General features: G+C 44.5%; 1 protein-coding gene across 11 annotated transcripts in view, besides 1 other annotated feature; it reads right to left on the reverse strand.

The window, feature by feature from the left end:
- PARD3 (par-3 family cell polarity regulator) overlaps positions 1–16,488 on the reverse strand; it is a 705,736-nt gene that overhangs the window by 516,357 nt on the left and 172,891 nt on the right. The window lies entirely within an intron of this gene.
- Positions 11,604–11,898: a silencer, noted in NCBI's record as "tiled region #15357; HepG2 Repressive non-DNase unmatched - State 12:CtcfO, and K562 Repressive DNase unmatched - State 12:CtcfO". NCBI's record gives its function as "represses a minimal TATA promoter and a strong SV40 promoter by Sharpr-MPRA in HepG2 and K562 cells {active_cell/tissue: HepG2 | K562}" and the evidence as "EXISTENCE:reporter gene assay evidence [ECO:0000049][PMID:27701403]".

The raw sequence follows: 16,488 nt of genomic DNA on the forward strand, positions 1-16,488 counted from the left end.
AAAACAAAAACAAGTCAACTTCACCAGAGCCCCATCTTAATGTGGGGACAGGTTCTTAAGTCTAACTCAAAAGAGATGCCGAGACCTTGCCTAATCAATATTCTATCTCAAAATATCTTCAAACTGCCCAGTAGTAAACAGATTGCTATTGTTTTGGTCCCCTCAAAGATGAAGTAGCTGGCTTGTGTTCAAGGGTCATAAAAGACCACTCCCTCTTCCCCAAAAAGAAAGGAGGACCTGTAAACATTGGAATTACATTCAATGCAGCAAGATGCTGACCCTGGACAGCCAGGAGTTGGGACCAAGAGAAGAGCAGACTCACACCTCCATTTAATGCTCATTCTCTCACGCGTTCATGGAGTGGAATGGAAGGTACACTAGCAGCCCTTTTCAAGTCACTCACTGTCCCTGTGTGTGTACACTTTCTCTCTCCCCCCTCCTCTCTGTGTGTGAAGTGTCTTATCTGTTTCTCTCTCTCTCTTTCTTTCTTTCTGACTCTCATCCCCTCTCTGTGTGGGAATACAGCTTGTTCTTTTTCACTTTCTTTTTGGGGAGGCCAAGGGATGGAAAGGAAGACAAAGAGAACAAACAATGTAATTGGACATTATTCTGTGATTAACTCATAACTCTACATTTTGGCATTACATAATCTCTGAAACCACTCACAGGGCATATATTATATCTGTTATGACTAAAATGTAAAATAAAGAAGAAAATGCTGACTGCTTTGAGAGCCCTAACTCATATTTGGATGCAAACATCTGAAAATTAGCCAAGGAACTGACAAAACACACAAGAAGAACATGGTTATGACACTCAAATCTAACACAGTTGCACATACTATAATTTCAGGGCAAGCTTTCAAAAAACACTCCCTTCCTTCTAACTGCAGCCAAAGATATGAGTGATGGAATGTGCACATCCAAAGTGAAATGTCATAACCACCACGACCCACACCTAGGCACATGCATAAGCCCAGGCGATCGTGTTCCAGACTTTCTAGGCTCAGAGGATGACACGTCATCTTCGCCTGGCTATATTTTTATAAGACTCCACTTTCAAAGCCAAATATTCTTTTGAATTATATTGATCTGAGATACCCATCTTTTTTTTTTTTTTGGAGATGGGGTCTTATTCTATCACTGAGGTTAGAGTGCAGTGGCACAAACACAGCTCACTGCAGCCCTGCAGCCTTGACCTCCTTGGCTCAGGGGATCCTCCTGCCTTAGCCTCCCAAGTAGCTGGGACCACAGGCATGTGCCACCACAACAAGATAATTTTCAATTTTTGTTTTAAACAGAGATGGGATCTCACTTTGTTGCTCAGGCTTGAACTCCTGAGCTCAAGCAATTCTCCTGCCATGACCTCCCGAAGTGCTGGGATTACAGGCATGAGCCACCGTGCCCAGCTGCCCATCTATTATGAACTGAATTGTGTTCCCCTCTCCCGACAAAAAAATATGTGAAGTCCTAAACTCCAGTATGTCAGAATGTGACCTTACTTGGAGATCGGATCTTTATTGGATTAATTAAGTTAAAATGAGGTCATTAGGGTGAGCCCTAATCCGAGATGACTAACGTCCTTATAAAAAGGGGAAGTGTGAACACAGAGGCAGACAAGACGCAAAGGGAAGATGCTGTGCAGACACACAGGGAGAAGGCCAGGTGAAGGTGCAGGGCTGGACTGATGCACCTGCAAGGCCAGGAACACCTGGGCTTCCGAAGCCAGGAACAGGCATGGAGCAGGTTCTTCTCTAGAGCCTTTGGGGAGGGGGGTGTGACCCTGCCAAAGCCTTGATGCCAGAATTCCAGCCTCCAGAACTGTGAGACAATGAGTTTCTGTGTGTCAAGCCATCCAGTTCTTGGTACTTTGTTATGACGTCCCTTCAAAACTAACAGACCATACATAAGCCCTCTGACTGAAATAGTTTAAAGTGTTATGTGGGAAGATTACTGATTCCAGGAAGAAATGATGGGCAGAGGTGGGTACACACAGGTTGCCTCATCAGCTTCATGAAGAGTCCAAAGTTGCTGCAAGCCCTCTTGGTGGACAGAGTCTGCTTTCTGCTCTAAAGCCCAGGCAGAAGAGGTGCTGAGTTTACACGTTGTGCCCTAATCTGCCCCACTCTCCTGGGATTTGCACAGCCATGATGAAGGAACCAATTCACAATAAATGCAGGATGTTCACCCATGCTACGTGGGAATACTTTCCAAACTCTGGCAACTTCTCTCCCCAAATTATTCCCTTTTCCTGTTGAGAGATACTGCACAGGAGCTTAGACAAGATTTTCATTTAGTAATAACGGGATGGGATGATCCATCCACAAGAAATAAGCTCAAGCACATACTCTGCTGTGTCTTTACTACAGAGTATTCAAGTAGTCAAATGCCAGGGACCAGTGACTCTGTGTACATATTAAGTAAAACCTGATTGGGAAATCTCTAATACGTCCATTCAGTCAACATTTATTGAATTCCTGCTACAATTTAGGTGAAGGCTCAGCACATGCTTCTGTAAAGGGCCACAGAGTATGGATTTTAGGCTTTGCAGGCAATATATCCTCTGTCCCAAGAATCGCCAATGCTCAATGCTGTCCCAGTGAGAAGCAGCTGCAGTCGGTACAGAAACGAGTGGGTGTGGCTGTGCTCCAATAACAGAGCTGCACTTGGCCTTAGCCGTTGGGGAGATAAGGCAGCCCTGCCCTGGAGTGAGTGGCTTCATCACGCCTGAGAGACAGAGGCCAGAAAGCAAAAAGCTTTGACAGCCACACTGCGCAGCACTGATGGGCCTGACCAGGATGGACAGAGAGGCAGATACACCTGTGTTTGGAGCAATATAATTTTAGAGAGTGAGGCAGTGAAAAACTGGAAAACAACCAAAAATTTAAAAATGAAAAAAGAAAGTGGAGAGAAAAATGACGAACAAGAAACAAACAAAAATTCCACGCATTACAGAGAGGAGTGGTTCACGACACCAGCCAATGTTGCAGGTGACATGAAAATTCCCTACATCCTTCAAATATGATTTTTTAAAATCCCTGTGAAAAGCCAAATGGCCTATAAATGGGTAAAAGAATAGGTCTTTAAGCCCTCCCCCAAAATGGGGAAAGAGGGGTGTTAAATTCTTCCTTCACCACGATCTCTATCAGCCATCTAATATTGCAGAGTTATGAGGTGAGAATAATGTACCCAATTGGTGCGGTAATGAAAGGTCCCTGGGCAGAAACACAGGCTCCATCTGCCCATACACTGTGGACATCTATTTTAACAAGCCTGTGTGTGATTTACTGCCCCGGACTCTCATATTAAACATTTTCAATATCTTTTAGCAGTTCAATAAAACCTGTTAAAATTAAATTCCAACCACAACTCACTCATCTACACCTTAGGAGGCAAAGGTTATACTAATGTGATCTCTCTTTATAGCCCTTGACAAGAAACAAAAGGAAGTCTTTCGCTCTGCATGTACAAAAGTAGTGATCCAAAGGCACAAAGGGGGGTATTTCCTCAATCTACACGTGTATGTGTGTGCATGTGCACACACACACACATACACACGTTAAGGTCAATGAATCCAGATTTGGGAATAGGTTTTGCTGCTCAGAGTGTGGCTAAATGAAAACTCAAGAAAGATCACTTCCAATCTGCTAGACGAAAACCTACAAAGAGGGCCTCAGTTGCAAGTTTCATATGTATGTACACAGACTGATCAAAATTAATATTGCACTGCATTATTTGAGACCCATTAAAAAGAGACCACCCAGTGGCTAAAATGTTTGAGATAAAACACTTCATCTGGTTGTCATAACCCTTTGTTTAGTGACTTATTTAAAACAATAAACACTAAAATATTCAAGACCCGCAGCTTTTATTAGGAGATTTTAAGACTGTTTTTGGGATAATCTGTCATTTTCTGTAGGTCAGTGGTCTACAGTGTTAATTTATTCAATAAGCAAATATTACAGATAGAATATGCATAGATATTAAGTATATTTCATATATGTAGATATTTATCTAAGTATCTAATGTATAACAAAACAAAACACACAAAGAATACATGCAGCTGTCCCCAACTGTGGTCAGCGAAACACGGCCTGTATTACTGATGAAAACGTGTAGCCCCTACACAGGCTGCCTAAACTTAGGGCCTATCAAACTAGAAGAGGGAGGGAGAGAGGAAATGGAGAAAGTGATCTAAAATCACCGACATAGCAATGGTACTCCTGGAGTTTAGAAACGTAAAGCATTTCAACTCCTTGTGGGCCTGCACTTACTCGGCATGGAGCTGGACCCTTGATCACCAAAACTGGAAAAACAGATTCCCTTCTGCATCCACGACCAGGCCTTGCCTGATTTCAAGGAAGTTTAAACAATGGTCAAAACACCCTGCCCAGATGTGGCAGAGACTCCTCCTGCAGGAATGCAGCTTTTCACATCCAGGTTCCCAACCTCCAAACACCCATGACCAACTATGGCCACAAGTCCCGACCAGAGCATCCTAGTCCACCCTTATCCTCCCTCTCTCTCTTTTTTTTTTTTTTTTTCTTCCGGAGACAGGGTCTTCCTCTATTACACAGGCTGGAGTGCAGTGGCACAATCTCAGCTCACTGCAACCTCCGCTTCCTGGGCTCAAGTGATCCTCCCACCTCAACCTCCTGGAGTAACTGGGGACTACATGCACAAGCCACCATGCCTGGCTAATTTTTGTATTTTTTGTGGAGTCAGCGTTTCACCATGTTGGTGTCTCAAACTCCTGAGCTCAAGCGATCCTCCCACCTTGGCCTCCCAAAGTGCTGGGATTACAGGCATGAGCCACTGCACCTGGCATCTTATCCTCCAAGGCTGTGCTAGGAGGAGCAAACACACATAGTGATTTCTGTAAACAGATTTATTTATTTATTTATTTATTTATTTATTTATTTATTGAAACAAGGGGTCTCCAGGCTGGAGTGCAGTGGCGCAATCATATTTCACTACAGCCTCAAACTCCTGGGCTCATGCAACCCTGCCACTTCAGCTTCCCAAGTGGCTGGGGCTACAGGTGCATGCCACCACGCCTGGATAACTGTTTAATTTTTTTGTAGAGATGGGTCTTGCTATGTTGCCCAGGCTGCTCTCAAACTCCAGGCCCCAAGTGATCCGCCTACATCAGTCTCCCAAAGTGGTGGGATTACAGGCATGAGCTACTGTGCCCAGCCTAGATTTTTCTTTTCCAGTATCCCAAATCCACAAGTCATCATAATTAGCAGAAGTGATCACTGAGGCAAAATGCCCATGTGATTACCTTTCGGGGTGTACCCACTCAGCCCCTCCTCTCCTGCCCTTCAACCATCAATCCAACATTTTCCCCTCGAAATGTGGTACAAAAACACAATCACATACGGCCCGAAAAGGTCCGTGACGTCAAGGCAAGTACATTGATTGAAGTAACATGAGAGAGAAGGGGTGGGTGTAGCAAAAACATTCTCAAGGCCAAGTCATCAGCCCTTACCCTTAGGAGGGGGCAGTGATTAAGAGGTGGTATGAGAGCCTCGTTTCTCATTTCTATAAGTGCTGGTAAAGGACCTGACCCCACTTCCTTACCTACTGCCTGCCCAGGTAACTGATGCCTACAGCATCACAGGAATTGCCAAAATGCAGAAAACAAATCCTAAATTGCTCTAATTTCATAACACAAAGGCTGGTTTTTGGCTTGAAATAATCAGGCAAATATATAATGTTCTGTCACCCAGGCTGAAGTGCAGTGGCACAATCTTGGCTTACTACAGCCTCAACCTCCTGCACTCAAGCAATCCTCCAACCTCCTGAGTAGCTGAGACTATATGCACATGCCACTATATCTGGTTAAATTTTTTATTTTCTGTAAAAACGAGGTCTTACCATGTTGCCCAAGCTGGTCTCAAACTCCTCGCCTCAAGTGATCCACCTGCCTTGGCCTCCCAAAGTACTGGGATTACAGGTGTGAGCACCATGTCCAGCCGCCGCTGAGGTCTTAATAGGTGGATGTTTTGGGTTTTTTAAGTGACAAAGTTGTCCATTTTTAGGTCTCTCGTATTGATGTTTAATTAGAAATATTAGCCTGAGGCCAGGCAGAGTGGCTCACGCCTGTAATCCCAGCACTTTGGAAGGGGGAGGCTTTTGAGATCAGCCTGGCCAACATGGCGAAATTCCATCTCTACTAAAAATACAAAAATTAGCCAGGTGTGGTGGCAGGCACCTGTAATCCCAGCTACTTGAGAGGCTGAGGCACCAGAATTGCTTGGACCCAAGAGGCGGAGATTGCAGTGAGCCGAGATTGCGCCACTACACTCCAGCCTGGGCTACAAAGCAAGACCGTGTCTCAAAAAGAGGACCTCAGCAGTGGACTCCCTGCTGACTTCAGCAATTCCATTCCCTAGATCACCCCCATCCCTAATCCTAAGAAGTACTCCCAGAATCCAGCCCCATCCTCTGCGCTAAGGAGGCCACCACAACCTTCACACGCCATTAGCCAGGGGACAGTGGGGCATCACTTTTCTCCTAAGCAAATCAGTCCCATGTAGGACAAAGGAATTAACTTTGGTTTTAAGGGGCTGGCAAAAGACAGACCAGAGAAGAACAGTATCTCAGAAGAAGGTATGAACAGTTCGATGTAGGTAAACACAGATAATACTGCCAACACCAGCTCCTCTGGCATCTGTACCAGGTAGATACAAATCAGAAATGCTGCTTTTGAGAGAAATTAGAAATGGGGTAGCTAAAAATGTATATTTTGAAAATAAGAATCTTATGCAGTCAAAAGCTTATTATACTGATTATACATAAATACAAAGCATTAGTAGCGTACAGCTCTAGAGGATAAACCCAGCAAGTCTTACCTTCATCAAAGCATCTGTAACACTCCAATAGATTCAAACAGAAGGAATCAATTATCATTCCGATTGTGATTTTTCTAATGCATGGTTGGAGTGTCTTTACTTCCCGTTGGCTTAACAGAGCTCCAGTGGCCACAGGTGGCTCGGGGAGGAACCGAGGAGGCTGCGCAGAGGCTAAGAAGGGAGGCCAACCTGCAGGCCAAACAACAGAGCGGGGCTTTCACCCCCAGGGGCTCGCCTGACTTGGAGGCTCAAGATTTGAGATTTCTTAAATTTCTCTTGTATATTGACAAGTTATCATTGAGGTACAAAAGTGATGTTATTGTTTAATACAATGTGGAATGAATAAATCAAGTTAACTAACATTTCCATCCCCTCAAATATTCAACATTTTTTATGATGAGAACATATGAAATTTACTCTCAGCAGTATTAAAATGTACGGAACTCAATTATTAGCTACATTCACTACACCATGTAACAGAGCTCCAAAAAAAAGAATAAGAAATAAATCAAACCTATGCCTCCTATGTAACCCAGGCTTTGTGCCCTTTGGTTACGATCTCCCCAACCCCCCTCCCAACCGCTAACCTCCCAACCTCTAACCCCCATTCCTCTTTGCTTCTGTGAGTTTAATGGTTTCAGATTCTGCGTATCCGTGAAAACAGGCAGTATTTGTCTTTCTGTGTTTGGCTTATTTCACCTAACACAATGTTCTCTAGTTCCATACACGTTGTCACAGATGACAGAAGTTCTTCCTGTTTTATGACTGACTAGTACTGCACTGTGTATACAGACCATTTATCCATCCGTCCAACGTAGGCTGGTGCCGTATCTTAGCTACAGTGAACGGCGCTGCAACAAACACGGGTGTGGAGACATCTCTTCGACATATTGATTTCAAATCTTTCAGGTAAACACCCAGAAGTAGGATTGCTGGACCATATGGTAAGTTCTATTTTTAGGTTTTTGAAGAACTTCCATGCTGTTTTCCATAATGTCTGTATTAATTTACATTCCCACCAACAGTGTATGAGGGTTCCTTTTTCTCCACATCCTCACAATACTGGTCATTTTGTGGGGTCTTCTGGATAACAGCTATTCTAACAAGAGGGAGGTGACATTTCACTGTGGCTTCACTTTTCCTTTCTCTAGTTTTGAGAGTTTTAAGTAGAAGGCCATTAGCGTCCATTTTAACCCCTATTCCATACTCAACTACATTGACCTGTCTAGTTCCAGCCTGAGTCCTCTGACCTGTCCCTTTCTTATTCAAAAGGTAATCAGTAACAGACCCAGGAAGCTACACAATGGCAGGAATAGATGACACTAGAAGATGAAACTCCTTCCTAAAGGAAGCAGAACTGGAAGAGCACTATTTGGGGAGAACCCTGGGAATAGATCCAAGGCGGCTTGTTTGGAAACCCAGAAAAAATAGGGGAGTTGTGAGAAATTATCCCCTAATTACTAAGGAGCTGTTAACAGATGAAGTCAATCTACATTTGCTGATGCGGAAACTTATCCAAGATATACTGGCAGAACAGTACGTATAGCGGGAAACCATTTGTGCGTGTGGGTGTGCTTAAAATGCTCATATATGTGCAGAAAATTTCTGGAAGGATGCGGGAAAAAAAAGATAATGTTTTCCCTCCAGGGGAGGGAAGGAATGTGGTATTCAGGACATTTTTATTTATTTTCCAGTTTACACACTTCTCCATTTTCTTTCCCATTAGCATGTACTACTGCTGTTATAACTAAACAAGAAATACTCAGGCTTTAAATAAACAGAAGAAACTGAAAGCAGGATAGGTACAAGGTTTTAAAGAATTGTTCCATTCAATAAGAAGGAAAGAAACAAAAACAGGGCAAAAAATGCTCTTACATGCACAAAGAAACAACTGAAAACAAAAGTACCTTCAAATGAAACATGGAGACAGCTTTGGCTTTTTGCTGAGACCCTAAACTTGGTGCTTTCAAATGTATTACGGGCAGAATGAAAGCTGCAAAGTACCATTTCCAGAACTGGGAGCTTTTTCAGTTTGTTGGGTGATTTCTAGTTAAGATTGAAGCTGGAGTGCTGGGAACAAAAGGCATCAAAAAGCAAACAGGGGGAATCTGAACATGAATGAGGTGAGGGGACAGCCATGATGGCATCACCACAGGCGAAGCAGGAGTCCAGGGCACAGTGGTGCTTCATGTCTAGCGTCCACCTGAAGAATGGCGGCCTACACTGGGTCCCCAAATAGTCACTGTGTTTCAGAGCACACCCAGATGGCATCACGATGGCTCCACTGAAAACACTGCTCAAAACCGGAGATTCACTTCTAACATGAGGTTATAGAAAAATACATATTTAAGACATTTTCAAAGGAGGAGGAGAACTGGAGAAATGCAGCGACGTGTTCAAGCTCCATGGATGAATTCAAGGCTTCTCCCCATGGGTGCTCTCAGCCCACCATGTTGCCGGTCTTCTGATTCTATTTGCAGATAAATGCTAAAGGCATAGGATTTCAAATAGGGGTAGCCAGAAAGTATTGGGCAATAAGTCAGCTTGTGGTTACCTGTCTGAGCGAGAGATGCCAGGCATAAGGCTGAGGGCTTGGGCCCTAGAGCCAGAGAGTGTGCATTTGGGGCTCAGCTCCTTTTCCCCACATGGGAAAGTTTCTTAACTTTCCTGCCTATCCTGAGGGACCACAGGGGTACGACAATGACGGTAGTGGTAAGGGGTCTCAATGTGACAGGGTTGCTACAGAACTAAGGGAGATAGTAAAGCACTCAGAACAGCACCCAGTACGACTCAAATTTATATGCCTATGACTCTGAACACACCAACCAAGTCTGCTAAATGGTCCATTCCTTGAGGTTGGTCAACTGGTATGTAGAAAACACTCGATGAGATACTTGTTTTAGTTTTTCTTCTTTGCTATTCATTCAATCTTAAAGGATGATGTAGGAAGAGAAAAGAACAAGTGAGCACCTACCGGTATGTCCCAGAACTGAGCTGGACTTCTATAAATACAGTAGAACTTTCTCCTCACATTTGCTGTGTGAGTTGATATTACCCAGATTAATAGACAAAGTCTGGGAAGGTTCTGGAACTACTTAAGGTTGTAAAGCTGACAGTGTGTGGGCAGACTGGGTCTTTAATCCCAGGTCAATGAGAACAGAGCCTGGACACCTCCCACCCCATATTCCCTCCACAGAATTTTTTTTTACGCAAGGATAACTTTTCTTAAGTAACTTTTCTTCTATTAAAAAAAAAAGAAGAAGAAGAAAGAAAGAAAGAAGAAAGGAAGGAAGAAGGAAGGAAGGAAGAAGGAAGAAGGAAGGAAGACGGAAGGAAGAAGGAAGAAGAAGAAGCCAAAACTCTTCAACGGTTTTTCATCCCTTGCCTGAAGGATAGATTTACGCATTTGCATGTGCCCAGGGCCCTCATCAGTTTAAACCAAACCAGGGCCAGCACTCCCTGTACACCTGCAGACAAACCCTCCCCTGCAATCCACGGAGACCCACCCTGTTTCCACCCTCTTCTTCCCAAATCTCTACTTTCCCTCTGTCATCCAAACCCACACTGCTGCCTCCTCCATCCGGGCTCGGGGCTAACACCCCTTTGCTCGCTGGCCCTTCTGAGGCCAGACACTCTCTGGCGTTAATTCACTGGGTGCCCCCTGTCCAGTCCCTCCACCCCACCACAAAGGCCGCTGGCGAGAGGCTTTGGAAGCACAGGACACATGAACCCAGACAGTTACCGCACAGGTGCTTCTGCGGGGTGGAGGCATGGAAAACGAAAATCACACTGCACCTAAGTCACCTCACGAAGAGTCAAAGTAACCATGATGCTTACGATGGTGTGCTAGTTCCCGTCAAGCCTAATGTTGTCACCCAATTAGAATAAATTGATTTCCTTCATAATGGGCTCTGTCTCCACGTTAATTTGACTGCATGCGCTCTAGGGGAGGATTCATGCCTGGAGAAAAGGTGGGGCAGGGCGAGGAGGCCCACAGGAAAGACCCGATGCCGTGACGGGCAGCAGGAGGGTGCACAGCTGCACACGACAGCAATGCACGGCTTATAAAAAATAAGCACGAAACAGGAAAACCAAGAAGGGCAAAGGAATTGTGCAGTTCCTCCTAGCATCAAAACCTTTTAGGCAAATGCCTACCGAGTCTTATCCATTCACAGCTCTGTTACGGAGCAAGAAAGTTGAGAATAAGGCATGAACTTAAAAGAAAGGAACTTAAAATCAAGATGACTGCCTGAGACATGTTGCACAACTGATATAAAAACAAATCTGAAAGTACAATTATACCCTATTGCAAGGATTTAAATAGTTAAGTGGTCCGGTTTAGTGCCTGCTTTATTTCCAGAAATCAATAAGTAAAATAAACCTGTTAGCCAGGACTCCATCAGGTGCTATGAGCCCAGTTTTGTGCAAGATGGATAAAATAATCCATGTGCCTTTATTTGCAAGTATTTTCCATTCTTTTCAAAAACAACGACAAAGCCAGCATGCAAGCTTTTTCCCAACTAACTCCTCTTATTTCCACACCTCATAACTATTCAAGGGATGAAAGAAAAAAGACTCCTTATCAAAGGCCTGCCACATATTTTGAATGTTGTACAATGAGAAACGTCCATTAACGTGAGAGCTCACCCCCATCCACAAGTGTTAGTTTTAATTACAAGTGATCCTGTGTATCAGGCCCTGCTGGAGAGACCAGTCGCAGAGGCTCCGAGAATTTCCCGGATCGTGCATTTGAATTCACTACAATGCTTTGTCACTGGGGGTTTCAGCGTTCAGTAATAATGTGCTTTGTTCTCAAAAATGCCCCCCACACCTGCCAACTGAAAAGAAAGCCAAGGAGACCCTTGCAGGCTGGTGTGCAATCACGCTGCCCCCCAGTGGGCACTGCCGGTACAGCAGCCCTAAAGAAGGGCAGAGCAAATGGGGAATCAGCACCTCTGCATCAGGCCGGCAGTTTGGAAAGCACCTGTCATCAGTGAGTTGAAGGAGCAAGAGAAACAAAAACAGAAGTGAACCTAAGAGAAAAACCAAGTGATCTCTTCTACAACTTCCATGCACATCAAATAATTAAGTTTGCAGGCGTGAAATATATTCAAAAGCCAGGTATACAAGCATGTTTACACAGTACTTAAAACTTTTACATAGGAAAAGCTGAGGCAAAAACAACTCTGTATCTGCAAGTGTACACATAAACAAGACACACGGACTGTGCACCCGCCATTCTTACAGTGGAGAAAACTGACAATTCAGTCCACAGAATATAATGGCTGTGATAGTCTGGTAGACAAAAGAATAACCAAAAGATAATTTGGACATTGTGGAGAGTGGACTAAAGGAGGCTGTGTGATTCTCCACTTCAAATGCAATCATTTCCCAGGATTCACAGCAAGGAAAGAAATACCTGAGATTTCAGAAAAATTAAAAATTCACAGTAAGTCATGAAGCCACCAATAAGAAACTGCCATGCTTTCTTCTTGGTTACACATCAAAAATTAAACATTTTCCCCTAAATTCCTAAGTACTGAGATTTCCTTTATATAACTCAAATTCAAGGAGGAGAGGCAAAGTAGGGATCCAGCCATGTGTCAGTAACAGTCCCCAATTAGCTAAACCATGCTAAGTAGCTAACTGCAAAATGTTCAGTACATCTAGGTAGCAGGAAACAGCAATATCTTCTGTGACACCTTACAAATGCTATTATGACACCTATGATAACTTTCATGACAACATTCTAAAATAAAATGTAACTATTTCCACATCACACTCAGACCCATTTCCTCTGGGAAGTGCAGGCGCAGGCTCACTCAGCTGCCAGCAAGGATGCTCACTCACAAACTGGCAGTGCCCTCTGCTGGACAGTCCATGAATCACACCCAAACAAGAAAAGTACTGCTTTCCATTTCTGGGTATTTTGAAATAAAAATACCACAAAACAGCTCAACTATTTATCCTTAATATAGTCCCTTCAACCTGTCTGGCAAAACCACGTAAAAATCTTATGCTTTCAGCAGGCTTGCTCTGATGTGTAAATCAGTTCTAAATTGAGTTCAATCCTCCACAAACATTCTTTGTCTTTGTTACTATATACGTATGATTTATAGTTCTCTCTCTGGGGAAATAAAATTAAGTTCTTTCACAATTCTTAGAAGAGAAATATGAAATACGGCTCTATGAAGTTATTTCAAAGATGACTTCTAACTAGGCCTAGGATCCTCATGCCATTAGCATAATGTCTAAAATTTCCTCTGTTCTCAAATTCATTCTAATCTATGAAAGAAGATATGAGTAGGCATGAAGATGTATAAAGATGATACCAAATTACACCTGGGTGCAGTGGCTCACACCTGTAATCCCAGCACTTTGGGAGGCCTAGGCAGATGGATCACCTGAGGTCAGGAGTTCAAGACCAGCCTGACCAACATGGTGAAACCCCATCTCTACTAAAAATACAAAAATTAGCCAGGCATGGTGGCACGTGACTGTAATCCCAGCTACTCGGGAGGCTGAGGTAGGAGAATCCCTTGAACACAGGAGGCAAAGGTTGCTGTGAGCAAAAGAGCAAGACTCTGTCTCAAAAAAATAAAAATAAAAGTAAAAAAAAAATAAAATACATAGGAAAACACAAGGAAAAAAAACACGTTTTTAAACAAACAGGAATGAAGCATTTCATGCCCTAGGGCACATCCCCGTTAGTGTGGTGGAGGATGAGAATCAAATCTCAGCTTTACCACTCACTAATGGTCTTGAGGCTCACATCTTATTAAATTACAAAACACGGAAAACAGACTGGGCACTGTACCTCACACCTCTAATGCCACCACTTTGCGAGGCCAAAGCAGGAGGACTGCTAGAGGCCAGGAGCTCAAGACCAGCCCGGGCAACAGAGCAATACCCCATTTCTACAAAACATTTAAAGAATAAAAAATTAGCTGGTGGTACATGCTTGTACCTGTAGTCCCAGCTACTTGGGAGGCTGAGGTGGGAGAACTGCTTGAGGCCAGGAGATCAAGGCTGCAGTGAGCTATAATTGCAACACTGCACTCCAGCCTCGGTAACAGAGTAAGACACACACACACACACACACCACACACACACAGTAAAAGAGCAGATACCTCGCAGAGTGTTATGAGAATCCATTTATGTGAAGCACCTAGCACATGGGTTATATTCATTAAACACCATGTTACATACAAACATAGATAAAAGACAGACATGCCCTTAATTTCTCTCCATAAAACCTCCCAAGATTCTATATTCAGAACAGAAGAAAATACCAATCCCTCTGACTAGCAGTCTCAGTCTTCCTCTTGTACAACTGAAGAAAGAACAAGCGAGGCTACAGCAATGAGGGTGGAGTGCACCATGACACAGTGAGGCCCACAGCAACTGCACAGCACACCTGCCCCATCCCTGGGCCTGGAGGCTGCAGGCGTGAATCCTACAAGAGCAAAGGGTCTGGGCACCCTGAAACGTTCTTTAAAAGATTCTAATACTCAGTGAAGCTGGAACTGAAAATCATATGCACCTTTTAAAAGGCATTTTTGGCTGGGCACCGTGGCTCACACCTGTAATACCAGTACTTTGGGAGGCCAAGGCAGGCAGATCACCTGAGGTCAGGAGTTTGAAATCAGCCTGTCTAACATGGTGAAACCCTGTCTCTACTAAAAATACAAAAATTAGCTGGGCGTGGTGGCATGCACCTATAGTCCCAGCTACTCAGGGGGCCTGTCTAACATGGTGAAACCCTCTCTATACTAAAAATACAAAAATTAGCTGGGCATGGTGGCATGCGCCTATAGTCCCAGCTACTCAGGGGGCTGAAGCACGAGTTTGCTTGAAACCGGGAGGTGGAGGCTGTGGTGAGCCAAGAAAGCGCCACTGTACTCCAGCTTGGACAACAGAGTGAGACTCCATCTCAAAAAAAAAAAAAAAAAAAAAAAAAAAAGCACTTTTAGGGAACACAATTTGACAACACCTATCCAAACTTTAAATGCACACTCCCTTTTACCCAGCAATGCCATTGCCAGCTATATATTCTGTGGGATGTATTCAAACAAATTCACTGCAGTATTGTGTTTTATGGGGGAAAAAAGGGACAGGGAGGGAGGGAATGTGATATATTAATAAACATGTAATAATTTTCATCAAAAAAGGGTGGAATGAGTTTAGCATGTGCTCATCAAGAAATAAATCCAAATTATAAACTAAATTTTCAAAGGAAAATTTCAGAAGAGTATACCTTAGTAGATTTGTTTAAACATTTACAATTTCCAGAACAATATACACACAAAAGTATTTGTGATTAATTCTGGGGAGTTAGGTGGGGGAGGAGATGAAAGGCACTTCCAGTTTCTTCCCTACAGCTTTCTATGATGTGACCTCCTTACCACGAACACACTTTATTTTATAATTAAAAGAACTCCGATAATGAACTCTTACTTGAATTAAACACACACCCAAGGAGGCCAACAAGGAAATCACAGAGGCCAAAAATGTAAGCCAATTAAAATTAACCAGGTTCTCCCTCCCGGCACCTGCCCGCACCCTGAGCTGCCGGGGAAGCCTGGAGGAGGGACTGGGGCTTGGCCTATCTTTGCTTCTTCAGCAGAAAGGCACAGTCCTACCTGGGCTAACGTCTGCAATGGCGGAACCTGAAAGTATTTGAGCCCTGCATTCTGGTCTTTGACTGAACAGTGGTCTTTACTGGAAGATTACATACTAGTAAAAGGCACTGCATGAAAAATCTCAGGGCCTGGAGGAAGCCTTGGCGTGTAAGAAACAGGAGGCCATTCTGCACACAGCCCCAGCCCACCCAAGTCCTCATGGCCCAGCACCCCCTCACCGATGGCCTCCGCAGGGGAGGCAACATAGTTCTCCACATGGCGGAGCACCACGCATGGCTGGGTGAGCTGTGCCGCAGTTCATCAGTCCTGAGCCTGCCCCCATTCGTGAAATGGGCTGATGACCCACTGGCTGGGAGGCATGCGCCTCGTGGGAACAGCTCAGTAGGTGGTGGCTGACAGACCATGGAACCCTGTCCTGCACGTGAAATACAGGTGCATGAGGCATCCAGAAGGGAGCGTGGAGGAGGGCACAAGGGTGGAGGTGGCAGAGGAGAAGAGGCACGGAGCCTCCCCACCAGCTGTGCTTGACTAGAAACTCCCAGGCTGTAAACAAGACTAAATGGTAATGAACACCTAAGGTCCCAGGGCCGAGGGGTAGCACTGGGACACTGCCCAGAGCCCACCGGGGGCACATCACCCCTGCGGGCAGTATCCACTCACCTGGGGCCCCTCGCCCTGTAAGCACGGCCCCTGTCCACCCTGGGCCCATACCTGGGTACATGGGATCCCCGCCCACCCAAGGCTCATGGCCCCCATGCACACAGTCCCTGCCTTCCTGAGCCTCCTGCCCTGCCTCGCACCCTCTGTCATCCCTTGCTGCTTCTGTACTCTCCACCTCCCTCTCTCCACTCAATCCTTCCAACTACCACGTCAAAGGGCCCAGCTGTCATGAATCTTTCTAAAAACATTCTTTTGCTTTCTACACCCTCTCAAATGAAAGCCCGCCCTTGACCCTCCTCTTCCTTGATCCACCCAGCCCCATCTGGCCCT

Source organism: Homo sapiens, chromosome 10, assembly GCF_000001405.40.
Source record: "Homo sapiens chromosome 10, GRCh38.p14 Primary Assembly".
NCBI classification, from domain to species: Eukaryota; Metazoa; Chordata; class Mammalia; order Primates; family Hominidae; genus Homo; species Homo sapiens.